The 27,714-nt window shown below is 43.0% G+C and overlaps 1 protein-coding gene and 1 non-coding gene across 9 annotated transcripts in view, besides 1 other annotated feature; both read right to left on the bottom strand.

The window, feature by feature from the left end:
- CDH13 (cadherin 13) overlaps positions 1-27,714 on the bottom strand; it is a 1,173,672-nt gene that overhangs the window by 1,091,326 nt on the left and 54,632 nt on the right. The gene's annotated exons all lie outside the window — the stretch shown is intronic.
- Positions 9,044-10,243: an enhancer, noted in NCBI's record as "BRD4-independent group 4 enhancer chr16:82732677-82733876 (GRCh37/hg19 assembly coordinates)". NCBI's record gives its function as "activates an origin of replication core promoter dependent on BRD2, P300/CBP, MED14 and CDK7 cofactors, and independent of BRD4, by STARR-seq in HCT116 cells {active_cell/tissue: HCT116}" and the evidence as "EXISTENCE:reporter gene assay evidence [ECO:0000049][PMID:35650434]".
- On the bottom strand, positions 20,296-20,384 carry MIR8058 (microRNA 8058). The gene has a single exon (NR_107025.1). It is a non-coding gene; the product is annotated as a microRNA 8058 (primary transcript).

The following is a 27,714-nucleotide window of genomic DNA, read 5'->3' as shown; positions in this document are numbered from 1 at the left end:
ACAGAAAAAAATTGCAAGTTCAGAATTTTTTTCTTTTTCTTGGTTCCTGGGATTAAAATAGCTTTTGATGATAATGTCCATGTAAAGTGGGAGCTGGCCAGACTTGTTCTGCTGATTGGTTTTTGAGAACTGCTAAGGGCGTATTCAAAGACTCATCTTCATTCGTGGAAAACTGGATAGAATTGGAGCTTATATCCATTGTTATGTTCATTGTATCTACTGCAGTGAAAGAGGAGCTGACCAGCGATGTAACTGGCAGCTCACTCTGATTCTTACCCTTGGGCCTGTCCCCACTTCTCAACTGTGAAGTATGAGAATCTCTAATCTATGAACTCATCACTCAGGACTCTTCTGGTTCTAAAGAATAGATTCACGGTTGCCAAATGTATAAAAGACTGAGAAACAAGTTATCAATTTATAAGAGAGCCCTAGCAGAATTTCTGATGCTGGTCAGCTCCACAGAGTACTTTCTCACATAGTACTCTGATATTCACACTGTGCAAGTTGTGTTTGGGTCAGTCTGGGGAGGGGTGTCTCAGAAAACTGACAGCTTCTCCATTTGCCCAGCGTCATCTGATTGGATAAGCGCAGACAGCTGACTCGGAGTCCCCTCTTTTTAGAGTGGTCATGGTGTTTTAGACCCTGACTATCTTGAGCTGGGCGAATCAGATCTTCCCTTTAGATAAATTAGAATCAAGAGACAAGTAAGAAGATACCAGTTGGCTTTGGAAAACCCAAGGTCAAGAAAGTAGAGGATACTATCTGGGGCCAGATCCAAGATAGGACATCAGAGGAAGCTGGTGGAGAGACAGAGACAGTGGAGTCTTCACACAGAAAAAGAGAAAGTGTGAGAGATGGAGAGTGAGAGCTAGAGAAGCACGAAGGAGAGCTCTCATCTGAACTCCATAGGCTCCTGCACTCTGATGCCTGGTTGTTCAGTGTTTCTTGCATCCCCTTATGCCCTATTTGCACTTTTATAGTAACTCCCTGTGGGTCCACTAAAACCCATTCTCTCCTCCTTCTCTCCCACAGCAGAAGAATGCAAGCCATGCCACAAAGCCAGCCAGCTAGATTTCGCAGCGTCACTCACAGCTGTATGTGGCATATGACCACATTTGAGCAAATGGGATGCGAACAGTGTGATGTAAGCAACATTGGAGTCATCTCTAATGTAAAAGACAGATGTTTGCCTCCATGCGTGCACTGAAAAGCAGACATACACATGAGCCACCTTCAACCATGCAGACAAGGACCATGCCCAAGGTGACGTCTGAGCAACAGCTGGAAGGAAAAAGATGGAATGATTACACAGGGCAAAGCCAGCCTGCCAGTCGGTGCCTCTCACCAAGGGACCAAAACATGACATAAAGGCTCATCTTATCAAGCCATTGGATTTGGGAGTCTCTTTGTTATGGAAGCTTGGTCTTTCCCTAACCGACACATATGCTCCTTTCTTTGGGTAAATTTTACTGTGTTCCTCTTCTCTGAAACCAAAAGAACCTTGAATACCACACAGATGGTAGTCCAAGAGGCTGCTTTGTGCTGAGATACACGTCTTCACCTACAAATATTTAGTGAGTGCCTACTTTGTGCAAATTACATGAAAACAGAGACATCAAGCTTAAAGAGGGCAACGGGTGTTACCAAAACCATGTTGGAGCTAATTCTGCAAAATCAGACAGGCAATCTGTCATCAGAATCCACACACCCTCTGCACCCCTGAGTGCTATGGTCACTCTGTCATGTATCACAGACCCTGGCTTCTAGGAAGACTTCTTTCCATTTCTTTAAAATAAGGAAAAATATTTTGCCTGTGAATAAGCCCAGTGCAAAGGCCCTGCACCCTATCATCTCTCCGTGCCTTGAGGATACTTCTTACTCCTTCTGTATGTGCTGGTGGCACCATTATACCCCTGCTCATTCTCATTGGCCAGTGCCTGTATTGCACCTGTTGTTAAATATGTGTAAGATCATGTCTACCCCTATCTCTTCCCTACAAATGTTTACAACTCCCTTCTCTTTGAAATCTCCATAACAAAATGAGTCAGCTGGCTTTGTATACATAGCCTCATTAGCAATGGCTTTTGTTCAGTTAATGGAGAAAAGAATCAAGCATGGAATTGGTGTTAATTAGTTAAGCTTGATACAACTAAATCAACTACTTGACGAAATTATCACATTTCCAACTTTACGCTTTAGGAAGCAAAACAACCTGCCTGTGACTAAAGCTATTTTCCCGCCAAACAGGGGATGGTCCACGCCTTGTCCTCCAATCTGAGGCTTCTGTGACAGCCCCTGATTTAACTATCCTTTTCCTTTCCTTAAAAGAGGACTCCCTAAATGTAGAACTGAAGGCAGAATAATTTTATAACTCTAGAAGAGAGGGCTAAACTAGAATATTCGTAAAAACATTGGTTTGGAAAATGTGGCAGGCACATATACCTAATTCACTGAGAACATTCTCACATTAAAAATGACCTCTATACTTCTTTTTTATTTTATTTTTTTTTTGAGACAGAGTCTCGCTCTGTCACCCAGGCTGGAGTACAGCGGCATGATCTCAGCTCACCGCAACCTCCGTCTCCTGGGTTCAACCAATTCTCCTTTCTTAGCCTTCCAAGTAGCTGGGATTACAGGCACCCACCACCACACCTGGCTAATGTTTTTTTTTTTTTTAGTTTTAGTAGAGACGGGGTTTCACCATGTTGGCCAGGCTGGTCTCCAACTCCTGACCCTCAGGTGATCCACCCACCTCCGCTGACCTCTGCATTTCTGAACATTACAGAGAACTGTAAACTCCTACCAGCACTTTGCAGAAAAAACTCCTTGTTTTTTCTCCAGGCCAACCACCTAGCAGCTCCACGGCCTTCTACTCTGCCCTGGCATGAAACGGCTGCTGAGTCTGTCTCATCCCTTATCCTTATATGCAGATAATTCTCCCCAAAGCCATTCCCTATCACTTGTCTATTTCTTCCAAATACTCGCTGGCCATTTTTCTTATCTTGTTAACTGTTTATTTATCACCTGTGTTACTCATCATGTAACGGGAACCACATCTGCCCTGTTCAGTGTATTTCCAGTGCCTTGCATCGTGCCTGGTATATAATAGGGTTTGAATAAATGTTTGTGAAGGGAAAGAGGGAGCGAAAAAGGGAGAAGGGAGGCGGAAAGAAAGGGAAAGAAGATGGGGAGGAGAGAAGGGAGGAGTGAGGAAGACAGGAAGATGAAGAAGAAAGGGAGGAAGAGAGAGAATAAGGAAGAAGGGAAGAAGGGAGGGAAGACAGAATAAAAACAGGGTGGGAGAGAGGACAGGAGGGGGAAGGGTAGATAACCTGGGTATAAACTTAACACCTAGCCTGTATATAAGGCTGCATCTCACGAAGGAAAACACCACTGATTGTATTAAATAATATGCCAGATGACTAAACCTGTTGTAAAAGCATCTACCCCTTCTTCATGCAGTCAGAATTCACTTGGCAGAGAATGCGTGATACATTGCAGGATCATAAACAAAATGAGAAGCACAATCAAGTCTATCTTCTCTCCAGAATTGTCTAAGGCTGACATAAGCACAGCCTCTTAATCTTCTTAAAGCATTATTGATTTTTTTTAAGTCTCTAAAATTTCAAAACTTGAGGACTAGTTTTGAATGAAATACTGGCAAGAAAGAAGCAGGCGTGTGTGGTGAAATGTGTCCCTACCAAAAAAATAAATAAGAAAAGGAATGGGAAACTTATTAATTTTTGAATTAGTCTTGGGATCACCAGCCCCATGAAATTCCTACTGCTCAAATGAGCTTGGCTCTTCACAATCAAAAAGTAGTTGAGTAAAGATTCAGATGGGGACGGATGCAGGAAGCCGAGCTAATTTCTAGGATCCCGGGTTGTCGTGCATATGGACCACTAGAGGCGATTGTGTGGCTTGGCTAATGAGACACTGTATTAGCGTATTGAATTCTAATTGTTATATCTCTGGGCATCCCTTGCTGGAGAGAAGGAGAAGAAATCAGATCTTAAGTAAGAATATATTGGACATCTCACCTGTCCAACGTGGTCTCTTGAAGTGCAGCCGCACCTTGTCCTCCCTCTCATGTGCTATATACCTGAAAGCTCATCATGAAATAATAGTCCTGGAAGCAATCTGTTTACCTGGATCCTTTTGCCTTTGTGGTCAGCAAGACTGTTACTATCTCGGGCTTTATTTTTGATAAATTGCAGGTTTTGACATAGGTATATGGTAGGCCTCACTGGTGTCTACAAGAATAAAAAGAAGAAACCGTTTATTTTCCCGTCCAGTGGCAATGCATGGTCATTCACCTTCCTCATGAGGCAGCAGCAAGAGACATTGTCTCCCAAGTCTGCCTTAGGTGTCTGTCAATATCCCGGGCTTGATTTGTTACAATTAACAAATACTGATTATGTTGCTTTTGCGTGTTATGGCTCACGCTAAGCATGGTTCATGCATTATCCTATTTATTTCATACAAATCCACGATGTAAATATTATTCTGGCCACTTAGCAGACCAGGAAACTGAGGCTTGGGGAAATTAAGTATTCAGGAGGCTTAGTGCAAAGCAGATTCTAATAAGCCAGGGCTATTTGACGGCATATCCTTAGCTCTTGATGACTGAGCCCTGCTTCTTCCTCTGGGAAACCTTCCTGGACCCCCCAGGCCAGGAAAAGGACCCCAGGTGTGCCTGCCTCTGCAGCACTTGCCCTTAAGCACTTCTTCACAGCACCCACCTTGGACAGCACCAATAGCAAGGCACTGTGGTTATTGATTTGCCTGTCTATCTCCCTTAGGTCTTGAGATGTGGAGGAGTAAAGAATGGGCCTCAGACATCTTTGCAGTCCCAAGACTTAGAGTCACCATCAGTGCATACTGAATGAATGAATAAATGAAGAACATCCACCAAAAATGTTGAAGTAATGCTTACATAAAATTGAACAGCACTGTGAACAGGCCAGAGAGCCAGAGCAATCCGGGTGGACACAGCCTTAATGATTCATTCTGTAACATCCATAATTCAAACTCAAATTCAGCAAGACAGATGCCCAAATCAACGTGCTCAAAACATGCTAGAGGCAGTGTGCCCCTAGAGCCTGCTGAAGGCTGAGGATTGCTTCCACAAGACTACAACCCCCCATGCCCACCCCCACCTCTTTCTTTATTTGTCTGTGGCTTGCAGTTTTAGAGTTTAGAAACATTCAAGCCACGCCACCTGCCTTTTTCAAAGGCTTTTTCAGCTGTGGCAGTGTCATGGGTTTTTTTATTTGGTACTGTTGCAAAGGAGGGGCTGGAGATGAAGCAGAAAGGAGAAAAACCGAAGCCTTGAAAACACAAATTGGAAACAGATAAAAGCAAAGCTGAATGCAAAGGAGTCTATAACACGGATGCCACAGGAATTCCTGGAGCCCCCGAAGCTGGGTAGGATTACATTCTGAGTGCAGGTGTCACTGACGGGGCTCTGAATGACCAGCTTCCTAAGGAAGTATATACACATTGTTGTACATGGGTGCCCTTGTTCAGGGGGCAAAGAGGGGGCATTAGCAGAGGGGGCAGCCAGAAGGCACAATCTATTGGCTGTGATTTCTGAAGAGCAAAAGCTCATTTTTGTGAAGTATAGAAACCTGTTTCTACCATTCTCCCTTGTCTTAAGTAGCGTATTATTGGAATTAGTTCTCGAATGTAAGTAGCTTATTTAGGAGGTGGTTCCAGGAGGCAGTGATATGAAAAGAAAGCCAGTAAAGCATTATCAGTCCAGGTACCACTGTGGGCTACTGGAGCTCATTCTCCCTGGAGACTCTGAGAAATGGTGTCAAATACATCTCCAAAGGGGCAAGGGAGTGGGGAAATTTATCCTCCATCTGTATTCATCCCTGGTTGAGAGCTGATCCTGGGGGTACGAGTTCTCCAGAACTTCTGGCCTGCCATGCTCCAGCAGCTAGAACAAGCACTCAGGCAGAACATCTCAGGGTTCACAGTGAGAAGCTGCCAGAAGGAATGGTGGGGGGACGGAACATAAGTAGGGCACTGAGAGGCTGTGGGGCAGCCCTGAGTGTGTTACATACACCTTATAACATTGTGTGTGTGTGTGTGTGTGTGTGTAGTATACATCCAGTGTGTGTAGTATGTTTATGTGTGCATAAATACATATATATGCATATATACACAAATATCTGAATATATAAGTGGTTTATATAAGTGGAACAAAACAAAAAAAAGTATAAGCAATGGTAACCTCTGCATGTTTGCAAGCATTCATGAACTGATGCTGTAAGTGTTTGTAGAGCACTCACTGGCTGTGTGCTGACCACAGCTCCAGCAGTGGAGAGGATACACCCTCACCAAGCTAAAAAAAGGTCCCTGCACACAGGGAGCTTACTTCATAGCCAACCAATGAGGGGATACACCAGATTTTTTAAAAATCTAAATGCACAGGAAGATCTAGAGACAAAGGTGAAGCTCACACTAAGCTGTGCCTGATGAGGCACCAGGGAGCTGAACCCTGGGGGCCACAGGGTTCCAGGCAGAGGAAATCATACATGCAATGGCCATCAGTCAGGAAGAAGCTTTTGATCATCTTCATACTTTTATATTCACAAATTTTCTGCAATGCTTACACATTGTCAGAATTGAGGGGGACAATTACAATAAAACTATTTTTAAAATACAATTTGAGTGGGGGAAAGAATAATCCAAATGGAAGTTTTATTGATTCTTAGAAATTTGACTGATAAAACATTCCAAAATTGTTCATCTGATGGGAATCAGAAAACCTCCATTAACTTCTCTTAATGAATGGCAAGTCCAGAATCAATCAACAGGTATTTATGGTGCCTGCACTGTGTACAAGGTACTGCATGTGGGCCCTGGGGAGCACTGAGACGAACAAGACAGGGGCCCTGCTGTCACACTGTCAGTGTCTAGCAGGGGAGGTGGGATCATATGAAACCTATCCTATGATTAGGTATTTCATGTATTTCAAGAACCATGATGGAAGTGTAGATCATGTGCTGTGAAAATTATTCACACAGAGGAGCAGGGGCAAGTTTAAGGAGGCTTTTTGGGGTGGAAGGCATTTGAGCTGCGTTTACAGAGTGAACACATCTGCAACAGCCACAGAGGGTGTTTCAGGCAAGGGAAAAGCATGGATCTCAGCAGCAGAGCAAACACGCAGCACACACAGAAAAGGAGCCATTTAGAGCAGGGGACTCTGGTTCTTCGCATTCAAGGACAGAAGGCCAAGTGGGAAAGGTGAGTTGGATGGGGTGACAGAACACCTTGAGTGCCATAAGCAACGATTATTTGCTCTTTGTAAGCCGCTTATTCATGTCCTTGCTCCAAGAACAGCCCTCCAATTTCCTCGGGGAAACTGCACCCACCCATCCTGTATTCTAAGTCCACGTGGCTGGGTAGAGATGAAGTCCCAACTTCTGTGTCTTCAGAAGAGGGGAGGTGACTAAGTCCTGGCTAATCAGAGCATCCTGTCCCCTTGTTCATAGCAAATGGTTGAAGGATGGGCACGTGACATGTTAAGAGCCAATAAAATTTATTTCTAAGATTTGTATGGAAAGTGTTAGGAAGAGAGAACACTTCTCTCCACTGGAAATGCTGAGGATGGGCTGTGAGTCTGGGATTGCTGCTGGAAGCCACGTTATCACCACAATGAGACATGTGATCACAGAGCACAGCCAAAAAAAAAGGAAGGACTGCTGACAGAAAAAGCAAATAGGACATATTCCTGATGACAAGTCTAAGGTCTAGCCTTCATGAAAGCTAAATCAACTCCAGGTTTGCCAGTTGTGCAATCTACTAAACACCTCCTTTCTTTTCCCTGAAAGCTAGTCTGGAGTAGGTTTCTATCACTTGCAATCAGAAGACAGAATGACAATGCATGTCAAACACCCAGAGAAGAAGGAGCACACAGAAATGTTAAAAGTCTTAGTAATCAGGATGGAAGTCAAAGTTGTAGAAAAATTATAAGTTGGATGGAAAAAGAGATCATGGCAAAAGGACCCCGTGGTCCATCTAAGAAAAATAGGACCTTGAACTAGGGCCATGCCCAAGGTTGAAAGGAGATGTGGATTTGAGAAATATTTCAGAGGTAGCATCAACAGGATTTAACAGCTAATATTAGTAGAAGGTGAGGAAGAGAAAGAAATAAAAAATTACTCAGAAGTTTCTAACTTTGGACATTGAGGGGATGGTAATGTCATTAGCTGCAATGAGAGAAAAAAACAGGAAGAGGAACTGACTCATGGAGGAGATAAGAAGTTTGCTTTTGAGCACATGCAACTGGGGCTATCCACAGGACAGCAGTTTGGAGATGCCCGGGGCGGGGGGGGGGGGGGGGGGGCGGGTTCCAGCACTTACAATGGTGCACGTAATGCACTGTAAAGAGAAGCAAATTACATGGCCTTTTCTTTGTAGATTTAGAGATCAGATTAGTGTTCTGAATAGTAATCATTTGGGATAGCGGCTATATAGAAAACACAACTTGATGTATTGGGAAGTCATACCAGAAAACAATTAAAATGCATCCTGTCAGGAACATAATCACTGAAATCCTTTGTGAGGGCAAAGAGGAGGGTGAGACTCAAAACAGGATGAGAAGCTGTGATCTTCTCACAGTTGCTTTCTCTGACTGTTTTTGAAATTCTAGGACAGGACTGAAAACCTGAGATTCTTAGAAATGATTAAGTTTAACCCAAATCCAGACTTCTTAATCCCTGGGGATGGACATTTACACATAGAAAGACACACAGACACACACACACACACACACACACACTTACTAGCCCTAATTCTTGTATCTTCCTTAATAATAAAGTTTGACTTTATTATTTGAAAATACAAGCTAATGTCCACTTATGTACATTATACACATACACGGTAACTCTTCACTGGTGGGGATACTTTCAAAAATCTCCTCTGCATAGAACGTTGGTCACGTTTTACGCATGGTACTGATTCTCATCGTCTGTTCTTTAAAGTGTTCTCTCATGGGATGCCCTGTGAACAAAAGGGTTCCCAGGTCAAGTAGATTTGGAAACTGCTGCACATTCTAAACCCTTCTTGGAAATTCAGTATGCACATTCACAGATTAAAGCCTCTGAGAAGTCCCGCAGGAAAAATTCATTTAAATTTCTTTAACCTAAATGATCCCCAATATGTTCAGCCATATTTGTCTTTGATGCTATAACCCTTCTCAGCATCCTGATGAACTAATATCCATAAAATATACTTTGTGTCACCCTAGTAAAGACCAAACTTCTGTAACAGGCGAACTTCTAGAGTAAGCCAATCTTAGCCAAGTTGGGATAAATCAACAAAGCTCTCTGGCAACTTGCAGGCAAATGCCCAGCCAACTAATTGGATGACTCATTTTATTTTCCTTTTTCGGAAAACTGTTGAAACATTGCATCAGTGTCACCCATGTGGACCTTCATAAGCTGTATTATTTATTGTTTGTAAAAACTAGATGGGACATTCCTCTCTCAACAGCTAAATGACATTTGGCATAGACAAAAGAGATTATCTTAATATCCTGTTACGTTTGTTCTGTGGCACTGTTTGGATTGTGGGTGGGAGAAGGTAAAACAGTAAAAGCTATGTTTGTGGATTAAGTGTAAGGATGCAAAATGTGTGTACTGATTACATTTTGGTTCAGCAGAAATGTCATAATCACCATGAAGACTTGTTTTATGCACATTCTCTTAAATACCATTTCTAAAAGGTTCTTAGTGGAGAGGAAATCTTGCTGGAAGGCAGAGTTATGACACGCATTAAGGGTGGCCATGTTAATGAAGTGGAGCAAGGGAAATGGGACCTGGGAATCGGCTGCCTCACCTTCTTTGCCCTTGAAATCAGCCTCCTCTCAGTCTGGGCTGGGTTGAAATTAACATAATGAGATGGCTTCTCTCCACTTGCAGAGTGTATGTTCTCAGGAGGATGGAGCTGAATGCACTCCCTACTACCGGTGGTCCTCCTGGAAGCTTAGTTCTCAGAGGCAGAGGACACAAGCAGCTGTCCTTGGCAGGGCAACCTCAGGTAATCATCAGTGACCCTCCCTGGCCCTACTACAGCCTGAATCCCAGTTTCATCACATAAGTTCCCATCTCTCCCCATATGAAAGGGGAGCTATTAGAAATATCCACCTTCAACAATCAGGCTTCTATGAAGATCAATTAAATGACAAGTATCAAAATGTCTTTTGCCAACAGAATATTGTATATTATTATTAGTATGAAGATGTTTTTTCTTCTTAAACTAGGGATGAACAAACTACGGCTCACGGGCCAAATGTGGCATGCAGTCTATTTTTATACAGCCTGGAAGCTAAGAATATCTCTGTTTTTTTACATTTTTAAAGGATTATTAAAAGAAAAAGGATAATAAGAAAAGGAAAAGAAGTAAAAAAAGAATATAGAACAGGGCCTGTACGTGGCCCCAAAGTCTAAAATATTTACTATCTGTCCTTTTAAAGGCAATGTGTGTGAACCCTTCTTAAACAGAGAAAAACTAGCTATTTCTTTGGCTTCCTGTAATAGATTGTAAAAAATGTTCCGATTCTTCACGCCCCCCTGTGCCATGGAGCTATTCAGTGCCCTCCCTCTTTGACAATGGGCTCAGCCATGGGATGTTTGGCCAGTAGATTGCTTGCTGAACAGGCTTGAAAATCACCTGTAGAATTGAGCTTGTCTCTCATGCCTCCTCCAATGCTCTAAAAACATGCCCAAGCTACACTGCTACAATATGGGAAAGTCACGGAGCAAAGCCCACCTCAAATACGTGAACAAGCTCAGCTAAGATCAGCAGAGCCACCTAACTGATGGCTGAGCCCATATGCATGGGCAGTGAGCACTGCTTGTTAATATACTACCAAGGTTTTGTAGTTGTCTGTCACAGAGCAAAAGCTACCTGATACATTCTCTTCCTTTTTCCCACCATCTACAGAGAGTACCCAGGAGATAGAGTTCTTTGCCTTGGTCTTCACTAAAAGCAAGCAATCCCAACCAGCTTTCACCTTTGTTTTTGAAGGCAAACATATGCTTGACATGCAAAGACTCTTCCAACCTGGCAGAAAACACTAAAGAGACTAGAGATAGCACTGCCTTAGAATTCAAGAGCTCATTCTTACCAATGCTCCAATCTTCCATACTTTGAACATGGTATTCCTAGGCCTACAGCAACAGTTAGAACCTGCCTGTCCAAGTTAAATTCCATGAGTCTCCACTCATTCATTCATTCATTCATTCATCCATTCAACAGATACTTCTTTATAGCCCCTATGTGCCAATCACTGCGCTGGAACATTAACATGCAGCCATATCCTCAAGGAGCTCATCTATGGGGTAGATTACATCCTCCAGTCTTTGTTTCCTCCTCACCAGCACTGTCATGTTGGGGCAACAATAAACAGTATAGTTCCACAGCTTTATTACAAGCTATTATCAGCAGTGCAAATATAAATTCTATATATTCAAAACCATTTGGCTATGTTTTGAATTCATGAAAAAACTTACACACACACACACACACACACACACACACACACACACACACACACACAATGCCTCGGCCCAGCCAGGTGCGGTGGCTCACGCCTGTAATCCCAGCACTTTAGGAGGCCGAGGCAGGTGGATCATGAGGTCAGGAGTTTGAGACCAGCCTGGTCTACATGGTGAAATCCCGTCTCTACTAAAAACACAAAAAATTAGCTGGGCATAGTGGCGGGCACCTGTAATCCCAGCTACTCAGGAGGCTGAGGCAGAAGAATTGCTTGAACCCGGAGGCAGAGGTTGCAGTGAGTCGAGATCACGCCACTGCACTCCAGCCCCAGTGACAGAGTGAGACTCTGTCTCAAAAAAAAAAAAAAAAAAAAAAAAGAAAAAAGAAATGCCTTGGCCCCCTTAAAGGTGATTAAAGGATGTTGGAGGATAGTCTGGGGTGAGAGTGACAAAGCCTCATCTTGTTCTCTTCAGATGGAAATCACCAGTACCTGGGAATATGGATCAACTGTGCTATTAACTTTACCCAAACCACCTTAAAACTGAATCATGAATATACAACGCCTTCTTTGATGACATAGTGTGGTGGTTTTGAAATATATCCACAAATTATTTGATCTTTCTCCCTTCAGGACATAGAGTTTAATTCCCTTCCCTCTGAGTGTGGACCTGGACTCAGTATGCATTTCTAATAGATATAGCATGGTAAAAGTAACAATATATGACATCCAAAATTGGGACATAACTGGTGTTCTGGTTCCTTCCTTGGTTTTCTCTCTGGGATATTTCACACAGGAGAAAGCCACTTGCCATTTTGTGTAAATACCTTAAGAGTCCTATGCAGAGCCTATTGTGGTAAGGAACTGAGGCCTATTACCACCAGCCATGTGAGGGTGCCACTTTGAAAGCAGATCTTCCAGCCCCAGTCAAGCCTGCAGATGACTCCTATTTCAACCAACATCTTGACAACAGTATCGTGAAAGACTCTGAACTACAAGTACCTCATTGCAATGTTTCTGTAATAATACTTGCTTGTAAGCCACTAAATTTGGGGAAAATTTCTAATGCAACAATAGATAATTAACATACATAGATAGCATCCCACTGAAACCACCACAGTTGACCTAACTGAGTTGAAGAAATCATGGGACATAAATGAAATGATAAGAGTCATGTAGGGCCTGCTTTCCTGTTACAGCCTTCGTTGCAACATGAGCTATGGGCATTCTGATTTTGTTTCTATCACCTGAATCAATGACTTTTTTTTACATATTTGCTGCCATCAAAACCAAAGGTGCAGAACTTAACTGCAAAGCTGTCATTCATGTTGCCATGTCAAAGACCTTGTGACTACCAAAATTTCTTACTCTTACAAAACAACGGTGTTCCCATTGAGTTTTACTTTTGAATACAATTAAGGTTTACTTTCTGATTAACTTACATTGACTGTGTTTTTTCTAATTTTTGTTAGAAAGTAATCTTTCATTTATATATAAAATATATAGAGTGAGTGACACTTTTTAGTAAAGATGTATTTGAATAATATATAACGTGAATAAAATCAATTTCAAAAGCAACACAATAGAATTATGCAAAAAGAAATCTGTGTATGTTTATATCACCTCTTTTTTTACTTAGACAGCAAACTAAAGATTTCATCAGAGTCCCAGAAGGGTCAGTGGCCCCAAAAGATTAACACAAATCTAGGGGCTTTCCCTGGTCAAGCACATCTAGTTTACAGAAAGTAGATGTCACCCGAATTTCAGGCTTGGGAGAGAAAGTAACTGTCAGAGAAACATTAGAAAGGCTTAGTGTTGTGGAAAAATTGATAAATGTGTGTAGATAAGGAATACATTTGGCAGGCTAGTAGATTTGAGACATTTATCTGCAAGGCTGCTTTAAATGGGTTATGGTTGATTTAACTCTGTGTTTAATGTCACTCAATATCTTGTACATAATCTGTTAAAAATTAAATGTGCTGTCTTACAAACCTAAAAGTTATTCAGCTCAACTCTACCAGGCTGCATGGTATAGCACCATGCCCTTGTGTTCAAATCTCCTGCTGTTCTAACACTATGGAGAATCAATTAGTGACCTAACAATCATGTCTCTTTCAAGAATTCAGATAGGGGCTTTGACTGAGGTCAGCACAGTAGCTTTCTGTCCCTAAAAAACTGATAGGAAGCTTGAGTGGACCCAGAGAATACCTAACCCAACAATGCCATGAGATGGTTCTTAACTCCAACTCCAAAGCTACGTTAGGAGCAGCACACACCAAAGCTAAGGGACAGACAAGAGGTGAAGTCCTTCCTGCTCACCATTGGAGCCACGTGCTAACCCTGCCATGAATGGTAGAGATATAGGAACAGATCGAAGGGAGAAAAATTGGTGGGAAGTAGAGTTAAAAAGAATTTATTAAACCTCCTCTGGGCAACCAAGTCCTGAGTAAGAGATCCAGAATTAGAAGCAAATTGGTATTTGCTTTCAAATAATTTATATTACATCTGAGGATTCAGAAAGATCCAAACACCACACAGAGGGAGACTTTGAGATACTCTAAATACTGTATCTCCCTGTTGATGCTTCACAGCCTCCTCATTGCCCCAGGCACAAAGCAGCTAGGTTGACAAGGCCCCCAGGGTCTGGACTCGGCCCACCAGCCTCCGCTTCAGGATCCTTTCCACTGAGCTGCTTCTGGTACCAAGAACATGCCCTTCCTCCAGCCGACAGGACTTTGCCCACGCTGCCTCCTCCACCTTGGGATACTTAGCTCCTCCACTGCCTCCTGTCTCCACCCTCCCCACACACATGCACCATTATGTGTTTTCCTTCAAATCTTAGCTCCATGGTCATATAATCAGAGAAGGCTTCCCTCCTTGACTCCTCAGTTCCATCTGTTATGCTCAGTAAGAATACCCAAGGCGCCTCCTTTATAGGCACTCCTCCTTTCTAGAAGAGACCACAGCTGTCCACTTTACAAGTAGGCATAGTCATCCTCCTCCCTCCCTCTTATATCTCCAGGGTCTGCCCACAGTAAATCCTCAAAGAATATTTTTTGAATGAGTGATTGGGTGAATCATACTGGTGGTTCATTCATTCAGTAGGTCCTTATTTATATTTGGAATGTTGTCAGAAAAGGGAAATATTTTGGTAACATGAAGCATGGCAGTGGGAAAATTCACCAAAAAAGCTGAGTATTAACAGAGGTTTTAGAAGATGATTGGGAATGGGCCTGGGAGGAAGGGAAGGAGGGGAGATTCAGTTTTATAGTCTTAGTATAATCATAAGATAAATAAAGTTGAGATAAAACAGCCTCCTTCTCATGCCTGCAAGCCATTGATTCAGCTAAAAAGGCAATTACCCAAGAAGAATATGAATATTGTCTATCACATTGACACAGAAAAAAGTGCTGAATGTTGCAGTGATAGTGAGCAGTCCATAAAAAAATGTTGGGGTGGTGAAATACCAAAGTCTGCCTGTCACATTTTATCAAAAGTAGCTCAAATAACTCTGTTCAATCTCATGTACTTGGAGTCAAACATTACTTTTTATTGCAGGACAGAAGGCTGAGCCATTTCCTATGGATACTCTTCTATAAAAGTATCCATATCTGGTAGTTGTCACATAAACTTTTCTGCATAAATAGCTCTATATGCAAGTGAATAAATTAACTGGGGAGACAGAATTATTGAGTACCTACTAAGTGCCAGGCACTGAATTTTTTATGATCATAGTGTTTAAGTATATGTTTTATTTTTATTTTAATCCAGATGTGGACATTGAAGTTCAGAGTTTGTTTCAATTACTTGCCCAGGACCATGTACGCAGCAAATAAATGACATCATTTTAATCCAGGCCTTCACTGTACCTTAGTGTATCCCATTAAATCACAGATGAGAAGTTTGAACCAAGAATGTTATAAGATTTTCTAGGAATGGCAGAATCTAAGAGTTCACTGGAATTTTAATGGGGACCTCATGACTCTGATGGCACCTTGGGTCAATAATGCAAAATAAATACCTTGCTCTACTCCTATCATTCCATGAAATATGCCTCAAGTGGCAATAGGCAATAGCTCAAATAAACATCAGAATGTAATTTTACCTTTTAACATGTGGCAGGGTGCACAGCAGTGCTCATTAATGATTCACTGACAGCAACTTATCATTTGGATGTGGTCCTGCATCTTGGCATGTTTGCATAAGTGTCTACTTGGAGGTTCTTATACAGGGTTTAATGTAGGAAAATGGGGGTCCTTTATGCAGCATACATTAATACAGGGGAGAGCGAGTAACTAAATGTTTAGAGCTCAAGTGTTTAGACCTAAATGTTTAGGTCGCAAGCTGGGAAGTGGTCTTCCTGAGGATGTTGCTTTCAGCAAAGAGGTGCACAGATATGTCCTGCACAACTGTGTTTTCATGTACAAGAATTCTGCTAGCAGGTCCTTTGATGATACCCAAGCCTAGACTTTCATGTATGTGTTAGTTATCTTGCCACAAACTAAGAAGCTTAAAATAAAGAGGTACTTATTCAACCATGGGTTAACTGGGTCAGGAAACAGGGCATGCCTTAGCTATCTTCTCTGCTTCAAGGTGCTTCAAAAGGCTTCAAAGGATCATCCAGGTCTGGGGTCTCATCTCAAAGTCCATGGCATGATAACTGGCAGATTCATTTCCTTTGAGGCTATTATACTGAGACTCCTAGTTTCTGGTGAGGTCTTGGTAGGAGGCCACCCCCAGCTCCTTGCTACATGGCCCTCCTCAACAATGACAACTTGCTTTATCAAAGCCAGCAAGAGAGAGAATCTAACAAGGTGGAAGGCAAAATCTTTTGTAAAACGATCACAGAAGACACCTCCCTCAATGTTGAGGTACTCTATTGGCTAGAAGCCAGTTCCTCAAGGGAAGAGGATTACCTGAGGCCGTGAAGACCAGGAAGTGAGGATCACCGGGGTCACTTAGAAGCTGCCTACCACATATACTAAAAATGCCTGTGCAGGTCTCCTCCCAGCTACTGAGAACCTAGGTTTTTCATGCACACAGCTCCACGGAAACTAGGAATATAAATTTCATTCACAGAGAACCCACGTTCTCTCTCCTCTGATTGCTAAGGACCACACTGCCATATCACCTATTCAAGGCATCCTCTCAGAAGGTTTCTGATGTGGTCTGGCTGGGCTCCCATTCAAATCTCATCTTGAATTGTAGCTCCCATAATTCTCACATGTCATGGAAGGAACAAGAGAGAGGTAAATTAATCATGGGGGTGGCTCTTTCCCATGTCATTCTCATGGTAGTGAATACATCTCATGAGATCTGATGGTTTTATAAAGGAGAGTTTCCCTACACATGCTCTCTTGCCTGCAGCCATGCAAAACATGACTTTGCTCCTCTTTCGCCTTCCACCATGATTGTGAAGCCTCCGCTACCATACAGAACTGTGAGTCAATTAATCCTCTTTCCTTTATAAATTTCCCAGCCTCGGGTATGTCTTTACTAAGCAGGGTGAGAACAGACTAATATAGTTTCTAATGACTTATTTCAAAGGCAGAGTGTGAACATTTGAGCCTAATAACATAGAAGTTACCATGCTGGGTAAACTATCCCAGCTTCTCTGCCTATTTCTTCCTGCAGCTTACACTCCTAAGCATTTGACTTCCCTTCAGCACTTCAGTATAACTTTGCTGTCCACAATATAATTCATGTACTTTTCTAATGAAGCCACAGATAATTCATTGTCCAGCCATATCCCCTAAAAGTGACAGAACTATTTGCAGATTATGAAAAACATAATTGAAGGGAAGATAGACATGCTTTACATGAGTGTTTCCTAACTGTCAGCATATATCAGAATCTCCTGAATGCCTTGTGAAAATACAGGTTGCTGGCAGCTTTTCTGATTCATGAGGTCTCGGTAAAGCCTGAGGGTTTGCATTTCCAGCAAGTTCTCAGGTGATATTGCTGCTGCTAGTCCAGCATCATCGAGATCCCAATTTAAGAACCAGTGCCTCCTTATTAACCCATGTCAGAATATTGAGGGGAGACCATCTTTCCTGATTTCTCCCTTCAACTCTCCATTAGCCTCTTCTGAAGCCCGAGGAAAGGTTATCACAGTCAGCTTCTGGAAGTCACCATCCCTAATAGTACAACAGGCTTATAATGTATTTTCTTTGCTTGCCTTTCCCCAGAGTGGATCTATAAGAAGGACCTGGATACAGGTAGTTTATTTGGAAGACAATCTCCCCAAGTAGTAAGTGAGACAGAGAAGGAGAAAATGTCAGTAAAGGGTGCATTAATGAGTAAGGTACTGCCGAAGTTAATGGCACAGGCCTCAGAATTGTCCCACCAAAGGGCAGGGAGGCTGGGACACCCATTCACCAACTTTCACCCCTATAGCTTGAAGATTTTTCCTGGGTATGGATTTTGCATCAAGTCCCACCTGCCACATGCTCAGGCTATGCAAGCTGCTACTGGCTGCTGAGAATTCCCCAAAGCAGGAAGATGCTGGCAGCCATTGGCATATAGGGAGACTGACTGCAGGTGGCCTCTGAGGTGCACAGTACCTGATGCATAGTAACTAACTAACAAACACTTTGGTCTTCCTTTCCTCACTTGTAGGTAACACCTCCACGAGGGTCCCTGAAGGTCCAGACTTGTTCATTTGGCTGATTGTTATATCTCTGAGTCCAGTGCAGCGCCTGGTACACCATAGATGCCCAATAAATATTTGCTGAATGTGTAAATGAATCCAAAATCTAGGTGTTTCTCTGCATGTCCCTCACTGGCTCTATTCTCCCATTTCCTATGTGTCTTTATAGACATTGGCTGGCTTTCCTCTCAACCTTTACCTTCCCAGCTAGATGACTGATTCTTTATCTGCCACAGGCAACTAGAGCGTTCATCCTCATCCCTGGCTCTGCTTCTGGTCCATGATGGGACAGGCAGTTGCGGGGTTGACAGTCAGCTCAGCCGAGGCCAGGCTGCGTCAGCCAACACCCAGGTGACTCCCAGAGGTGTGAGCAGGTTGTGCCAGGCCAGGTGTGCTGCATGTGCACACATGCATAAGGATATCTACCATGTTTCTTTTATTCATGAACAACGGTGGGCATAGTGGCTTCCAGAGCACAGTAGTTCTGCTTCATTACTGTGGGTACAATGGTCACCTATATGAAAGGCTTTGGGCATCAGATTTTTTTCTTAAGTGTCTCTTTGCTCATTCTCACGAGATGAACTCTTCTGCCCACGAGGCTGTGCTAGGGCCCTGTGTATTTTCTATCCAGAATAGCTTAGGCTAATCTACAAACTTGTGTGCTTCCTCTTCTGGATCATCAATAAATGTGTAAAGACAGACCAGCCCTAAGATTATTCCACAGAGAACATGACTCTTAGATATTAATTTTTTGTTATTTTTGTGTCCAAGCCAAGTTCTTCATTTATAGCTAAATATTAAAATACAACTAAATATTTAAAAATAGCAATGCTTTAGGGTTGACACATTTCCAAAGCTTTCTGGTAGTCTACACAGTATATGCCCACTGGTTGTCTCACCATTCTTCTTCATATTTATTTCCCTCCACCAACCCCACCCCAGCCACCCACCCGGGGTCATGAGAAGATTTTTTTTTTTTTTTTTTTTTTGAGACAGAGTTTCTTGTTGCCCAGGCTGGAGTGCAATAGCACAATCTTGGCTCACTGCAACCTCTGCCTCCCAGGTTCAAGCAATTCTCCTGCCTCAGCCTCCCAAGTAGCTGAGATTACAGGCATGCAACACCATGCCTGGCTAATTTTTTTTTTTTTTTTTTTTTTTTTTTTTTTTTTTTAGTAGAGATGGCGTTTCACCATGTTGGTCAGGCTGGTGTCGAACTCCTGACCTCAAGTGATCAGCCCACCTTGGCCTCCAAAAGTGCTGGGATTATAGGCGTGAGCCACTGCCCCCAGCTATGAGAAGATCTTAATCAGGCACAACTTACTGGGACAGAAATGCATTACATCTTCTTCAGAAGCTATGTTTGCTCCAACCTGTGGTATCTGCCCTTTCAAGCAGACAGCCCAGTTTGTCCAGAATGTAAATGTGAGGCCTGGCACTCTGAGGACAGGAGTCCCTTTACAATACTTTACAGAAACGGGAGGGGGCTATGCACATCCATGATCCTGATTTATGTTAAACATTAGGGCATCAAACACATTTGCCATTTGCAGCAACATCCCAGAAAACAATCTTCAAGTGTAGAAGAAATATGGCAGTGACGGAAGTCACTCCTGTCATCCTCGAGCCTTCAGGCAAGGTGGCCTCAAAAATAAACCTAGATTGTGAGATTCAGTTTGGAAGAGACTTGAAAACCCACAAAAAATCCAATGTTATGTAAAAGGAGGTTACTAAACTGACTATGATAATGATAGTCTTAATAATGGACCCAAATGATAACATTGGCTTTCTGTAAGAGTGGATGAATATGATAACTAACAATTTACCTACGGAATACATTTTTAATAGCAGTGATTCATACCTGCTGAGAAAGCCATTCCCACTGGAACCTGTATGGGCCCATTTCTAATTCAGATATTTTCTGCATCCTACCAAGTAATGTCAACTGCACAGTTTGACAGGCTGGTTTTATCTTGAAAAAAAAAAAAAAATGTTTGGATGCAGGCAAGTTAGAAGAATAAACCTGAGTAAGTGTGTTAACCCTACTAGAAAAATACCCATTACTTTATACATGTTATTGCCCTAAGCATGAAGAACACAGCTGGTGTGAAAGACAGCTGACCTAGTTCTTAAATGGAGGCATACCATTATGGCAAGATCAAAGTCCAGGTGCCCTGGTTCTCCGTGGGGCCTGGATCTTTAATGTCTCAGCACTGGCAGTGACCAGGAAGCCTGACCAAGCCCCTCTCTGGGTCCTATTTGGTCCCTTTTCCAAGAAGCAAATTGGTCACATGGTTACCCTGTTCCCTTTTCTTTCCATTCTCAATCTGCCTGGTGACCAAATCACCAACCCAGGCCTCTCCATTTTTCTTACCTTATTTTATTGCTTTGTAAATAACAATAACAACAAATTCCTTAATATTGAAAATATATTTTTTAAATGAAGGTAAGAATAATTGAATGCTCACTTGATCATCCTCGGATCTTTATTTCTTGTTACAAACAATATCAGAACCATCCCAAAATGGTTCAAAAGAAGCATGTCATCAGATGAATGATGTTTTCACTATTACACTGTAAAATATGTTGTCATAGTTGATGTTTTATTCAATAAATATTTCTGAGTCTCCATTGATGGAAAATGCAACCAGAGAACATGAATTCTGCTTTGATAGACTTCAGAGTCTTGAATGGTGATGACCAGGGCTGAACTTGTGAGCTTCATTATTTGATTTAGTGCATAAACATGCCTGTGATCATGGCTTCTTTTTACAGCTGAGGAAGCTGAAGCTCAGAGAGGTTTAAAAGTGAGCCTAAGGCATATGGTTTGCCTTAGCGCTTTTGTGTATTTAGGGGCTTAGATTTGTAGATCAGAAACCATGTTCCCAGATACACATGGAGCCCAGCAGGGCATTCGAGACACAGCCTGGAAGTAGCAGTTGCTGCCAGGCTATACCAGTGTTGGACGAGATCTCTTGGCTGGTTCACTTGAGGCAAGAGCCAAGCAACTACCCTGTGGTTACTTGTTTAGAGATTCCAGGACAGAAACCCCAGTAACCCAGCTTCACAAAAAGGTAAAATCACAAACACTGTTGTCATTTCTGCACTTGAACCATTGCTGCCATATAGATCTGTGATCACTGAGGGCCTACATCTGTCACTGCCATGTTTCATTGTGGCAATGGACAGTAAAAGTTGTCCTACGAACGCGGTCCCAAGCATGTCTGAGTCCAAGGAGGTGCCTTGGATCCCCTTGAAGCTCCTTACTTAGCATCCCTGACGGTTTGCCCTGGCTCTGCTCCTACCCCCGAGGACAGCCAGTTTGAAAAGAGACTCTTGCTGGGTCACCATGTTAGGATCTACCAACTTTGATAGAATGAGATCAGAATGGAAGGCAACCATATTCCAAATGATATCTATCCCACTGATATGGCTTGGCTCTGTGTCCCCAGCCACATTTCATCTTGAATTGTAATAATCCCCACATGTCATGGGAGGAAGTGGGTGGGAGGTAACTGAATCTCGGGGGCAGGGTTTTCCCATGCTGTTCTTGTGATAGTGAATAAGTCTCACGACATCTGATGGTTTTATACATGGGAGTTCCCCTGCACATGCTCTCTCTTGCCTGTCACCATGCAAGATGTGACTTTGCTCCTCCTTCACCTTCTGCCATGATTGTGAGGCCTCCCCAGCCATGTGGAACTGTAAGTCCATTAAACCACTTGCCTTTATTAACTACCCTGCCTCAGGTATGTCTTTATTAGCAGCTTGAGAACCGACTAATACACCCACATAGACCAGTAAAGTTGTCCTCCAGCTGATATCACTTACATCTTGCTATAAATTGGAAATAGTAACCCCACCACCACCCAGTATCCCAGAAGTTAAGATTTAGTTACCCCTTGTGCTAAACCCTGCCTCCTCCTTTACACACCTTCCATCACTGTTCACAGGCACTGACCTTTCCCTGACACCAGCTTCAAAGCTACCATGAGAGAGGACTTGGCCTCTCCATCTTAGGTAAACAGATGACCTGCAGCCCTGAAATCCTAAACGTAATGGGTAAGACTCAGTTCCATTCCCCTCTCTGCCCATTTGTACAATGTCTGAGGCAGATTCCTACATCTACGAAGGGAGAGAAGCAGTGGATTTCCCATACACAATCTTTATTGAACGAAGCAAGAGCTTACAAATGTTGAGCTCTCATTTCTAGCATTTTGATGAAAAACAGACAATGTTGTCTGTGTAAGAGAGATCCAAGGAAGAATTCTCCTGTTGTAGCTTGAGTAAGAAGTCGTGTTCCCTGTGTTGTTCCACATGGTGGGGGTGTTATGGCCATGGGTATTGATAATACCCAAAATGATTACTCAACATCAACTCTCATTTATAAAGGCTCTTCTTGATCACTCTATTTCCCCTGTGCATCAAGCAACATTCTGGGTTGTCAACGGAAGGAAGAAAGGCCTGCACTAAAATCTTTCATGCACGTTATCTCCGGGAATCATAACAATAATCATTGAGGAAAGGAATATTCTCATTTTTAGAGCTGAAAAACCGAAGGCCAGAGTGATTAAATAATGGACTCATCTTCCATAGTCAGTGAGCGACTGGCCTCGTTGTTCTCTGGCATATTCTGTGACCCATGCATCGCACTGCTGCCTCTGGGAAAAGCCGAGCCTGCATTCTTTAGTTCCTCTCCCATACAATCTCCGTTGACACCAGTAACCAATCACACAAGGGAAGCTGGCACCCAAATGGATGCTAAGACCCTCTGCATTTATAAGTGTATTGATCCTAACTGGTGATTGTGTTCTAGTCTCTCATGGCTCTCCGCAGAACCAGGAGGAGACGAATTCAAAGATCTACCACTGCTAAGGTGACTTCCTGTTCTAGTTTCAACAGGAAAGTCCTGATTTACTTTCAAGAGTATTCTGCTTTGAATTAGAAATTGTATGATCACTCTCTCCAGACCCCACAAACACAAAACACATGTTCTCTGCAAATGATAACCCTGTATTTTGATAATTAAGATGAGGATGCATTACCCAAATTTCTGAGAAGGGTGTGGAAGTGGAGCTAAGGGTGATTATCATTTCTACTTGCAGTTGGGAGAAAAAATTGTAATTCACTAGGGATAATGCAGAAGAGAAATATGGTACTCTTTCCTACCTTAATTATCAGCTCTCTGTGCCTATTCATCATGATTTAACCACTAGAGGAACCATGATATGTGGGTGGCGGCCATTCCTAAAGGGAGCACCTGAAAACCACGTATCAAAAAGAGGACTGTCTCTGCTTAAAACAAAGGTTCTGTTTTAAGACCTCTGAAGTGGCATCTAAGCAGAGTGGAACATTCTAGACTTGGTTAAACCTCTCCCTGGGACACAGGGCTGAGGGCACATAGGAAGAGATAAAAGCCAACTGAAGCGAAAGCTGCCTGAGCCAGGCGGGGTTGAACACCTGCTGGCCCCCTCACAGACTGCAAACTCTGCCTTGTGTACAAAGCACACACACAGAGCACATGCACACACACACATCCACACATGTGCAAGTGCACACACACAGGCACAAACACATCTTTCTTAGCAGCTAATAATTCTTTCTCCAGATGTCACTTAATCACCTACACCTGATCTCATTATCTTTGCTACAGGCTAAAGATTTATTCCCCCCAACATCCATATGTTAAATGTCTAACCCCCAAGGTGATAGTGTTAGGAGGCAGGGCCTTTGGGAGGTGATTAGGTCATGAGGATGAGCCATTATGAATGGGATTAGTACCCTTATAAAAGAGGCTCCATCCAGATCCCTCATCCATTCTGCCAAGTGAGGACACGGCTAGATGGCACCATGGATGAGGAAAGCGGGACCTCACCAGACACTAAATCTGTTGGCGCTTTGATCTTGAACATCCCAGCCTCCAGAACTGTGAAATGAGCATTCATTGTTTTTAAGCCACCTAGTCTATGGTATTTTTTTATATAGCAGCTCAAACAGATTAAGATCATCTCTCAACAAAACTGAAGTATTTTTTCCCCTCATTGGATCATTTCTCCCAGAAAGGCCTTGCCTGGCAATGTCTGCGCACTGAGTTATTGCAGGTTTACCGGCCAGACACACATGTTGCTCCACAGCAAACACTGTCTCAAGTGGTGCCCACCTTGGCTAAATTTCCCAGCTCCAAGAATACTACACATTAAATAGGTGAATTTACTCATTTTCAAGCGACTACTTAAATGTGATTTATATTTCCTCAAAGAATACCCAAGTTGTTTGTCCTCCACCCTTATCTTCCTCAGCTCTCAGAAGGAGGCTGTGGCCTTAAGAAAGCACAACTTGGGTATGGGCTCTGAGTGGGCTCAGGCTATGCCTGCAAGTCATGTTTGCAGAGGATAATTCTCAAATGCCGTGCTTTCTGTACCTGACCTGTTTATGCCAAAGCACTCAATCATTTGGAAAAAGGATCAAAAGCAATTGTAAACAGTTCCATGCTATGGAACCAGTAGAGACTCCAGGTAGGATCTAGTATCAATAGTTTTCAGAAATATTTTGGAAACAGTCCTCATACATTAAGGTAGCTCCCCAGATCCTGACTTCATGGTCTATTAAGCTGAGATGGTGAGTCTGTGGTATGCATGACATAACTTCTCTACCCGTGCACATGGCAGACATCACTAATTGACTACAGCATACTTTCCTGATGAGCTCTAGAATCTTGCTCACCGCAGACATCTAGGCATCCTCTTCATGTGAGTTGACCCACAAAACAAAACCTACTTGCTATCCCAGCTGTAGACACATGATGTTATCTAAGGGACTGATGACCCAGAGACATTCATAGGGGCCCTTAAAGGGTAATCAAGGAAACCCTTATGTCAGACACCATGGTTTACTCTCACAGTCACCGTTTCGTTCTGAATCCTAGATCTGAGCTCTAGGGATCTGCCTCAAATTCCTGAAATCCAGGGATGTCTTCAGGTGTCAAAACCTGGGCCCTTTCCCCATCATTGGACCATTTTCCCCAAATACGATTGAACCTCTAACTCCCTGTCTGGTTACTTTGATCATGGCTATTCACGAATTCTTCCTTGATCATTTGGTTGCCTCAATATAAATAGTCCTTGGGAAGGGGTAGACAGGCGAAAAGGCACTCCCCATCCAACTGCTTAGAGCAGATTTAATAAAAGAGGAGACTAGACAAGTCAAAGGTTAATGTGTCATGTTTTTATTAGTTCTGTAAAAGAATAAAAAGCGCACAATTTTTATCAACACAGAAAACAAAACCATCGGTACCTTAACCTAATAATATGTAATATAATGTCTACCATCACCAGAAAGCAAAAATAGAAAAAATATCATCCACATCAAGTCTTTGCCTTCTTGGCTTGAGTCTCATTTTCTCCCTCATTAAGAAAGTATGGACTGAGCTAGATGGTGTGGATAGCTTGGTGAATAGGACAGTAAGACAACCATTTCCTAATTAATTATCTCTATCAACTTGCTTGAATAATGGATGCATTCCTCAATCCATGAATGCTCACATGATTCCTTATTCTCTTACCCCTTGAGAGCTGCTGGTCCTTCTGGTCCAACTATATTTGTGTGCTTGACTCCTTGGTCTAGCTGTTTCTGGCATGATATAATTAGGGAAGAGAAGGCTCAGTGGTCTGAATGCAGTCTCTCACCATACGGCCATCCTTCCGTGTCACTGGGGTGACATTGCATCGGGCTATGGAAGATTCATGGCATGGCCACTTTGCAGCACCAAGAGTGAGCTCAGCAAGTCAGATATACAAGGCAAGAACAGGCTAGCATCTGGAACCAGAAAGCGGGGAGGTTGGGGTGATAAGCAGACAAGCTAGAAAGGTTAGACCAGAAGGCTAGGTTCCTGCAGATCAAACCTGGACAGAAAGGGGCAAACAGGTAACCCAGATGCAATAAACAAGACCCCGGGCTGAGACAGGGAAGGTTTAGTAAGACCACACCAGGGCGACATCTTCTGATCTACGACTTATTTTCCTGCAGAGCATTGTTTCACTGGATACTGATGACTGTTTCTGCTATTACAACCCCTAGTTTTAAGCTGAGAACACTAAGCTCCATGGAAACTGAATAACTTGGCTAAGTTCAGAAAGCTGATAAGTGGGGGCTGGAACTTGAACCCGAGGTCTAATTCAGAGCTGCTTCCTGGAGATAGTGTGTTCCTAGGGCCCAGGCATTCTTAGGACCAGCCTGAACTGTGGGCAATGGCTGTGTGTTTTCTGCTCCCTTAATTCCTAACTGTGGCTGGGTCATGGCTCAGGGGAAGCACCAGTCCTCAGGGTGGCACAGACTTCGGAAAATTACAAGAGCAGAGGGCTAGGCCTTCTCAGAAGATCTTTCCAATATTTTTCTCAGAAGCAAGCACATCCGTTTCCTAATTAATTATCTCCATTAGCAAAGCTCAATTACTTTGTGTCCACCTCCAAGAATACAACCTTGCTCCTTGGAGACTTCCTATTTGAATTTCCTAGGGGGCAAATATTGCCAGAAGCATGTTTTATGTAATTACATAGTGTAGATATTTCACTCTCTCTTTACTTAATGATTATTAAATACCGAAATTAACTTTCATACTTGGATATGGATCCCATCAGTTTAAGAGAAAGTAAATGTATACATGTAATGGAGTATTTCTCCCTGCAGAACTTGAGGGACCACATTTGTTGAAATACTGACCAGATGCCAGTGCCTGCCTCCAATAGGTGGCCTCTCCTCTGTTTCTCATCATGCCAGTGTCCAGTGTTTTTCAATGAAAACTTTCTACTCTATTCTGCATTAGAAGAACCAGAAAAGCTTGATAAATGCAGATTCCAAGGCTCACACCTAGACAGATGGAATCAGCATGTTGATGGGTGGGGCCTGGGAATCTGCACTTTTAGCACTTTCCCTAGGGGATTCTGTTTATGCTAATGTCCAGGAACCAATTATAGTTATTTGCCTGATGCGTGAAGGCAGTCTTATCATTGGGAACAAGAGAGGCAAAATGAACACAAGCCAGTGTCTTCTCATACACATTTTAACAATAAAAATTCAATACATGTTATCTATTATTACTCCGTAGTTATTATAAATCCTGAGCCAAGGGCTTGAGAGCCCCACCTGATTTGGAAGGTGAAGGAGAAACCAGGAGGGAAGAGGGGAAATGAAAGGAGAGGTGGCAGCACAGTCAAGTGCACTAAGCCTGGGAACTGCTGCAGGCAACTGGAGCTCAACCGGGCTGGGGCCTCTGGGAGCCAGCAAGACGCACTGAGCTCTGGACCCCACCTGGAGTGCAGGGAAGTTGGTGTTTACACATTGACGCATGTCAGTCCTCACCCGAGTGCTGCTCCTGGGACCTGGTAATTCTCTGGTACTGCTGTGCGTGGACACGGGCTTTGGCAGCCGGAGAGAGCCCTCAGGCAGAGAAACACAGGCAGGCGCTGGCTACTGGAAGCTGAGCTGGCAGAAAGGTGAGGGAATGCAACGGGGGCACCAGGAGCATCCGCTACCACTCCCGCCAGGTTAAGCAAGAAAG

This window comes from Homo sapiens, chromosome 16, assembly GCF_000001405.40.
Source record: "Homo sapiens chromosome 16, GRCh38.p14 Primary Assembly".
Taxonomy (NCBI): domain Eukaryota; kingdom Metazoa; phylum Chordata; class Mammalia; order Primates; family Hominidae; genus Homo; species Homo sapiens.
This window is presented reverse-complemented; position numbering and strand designations above follow the sequence as displayed.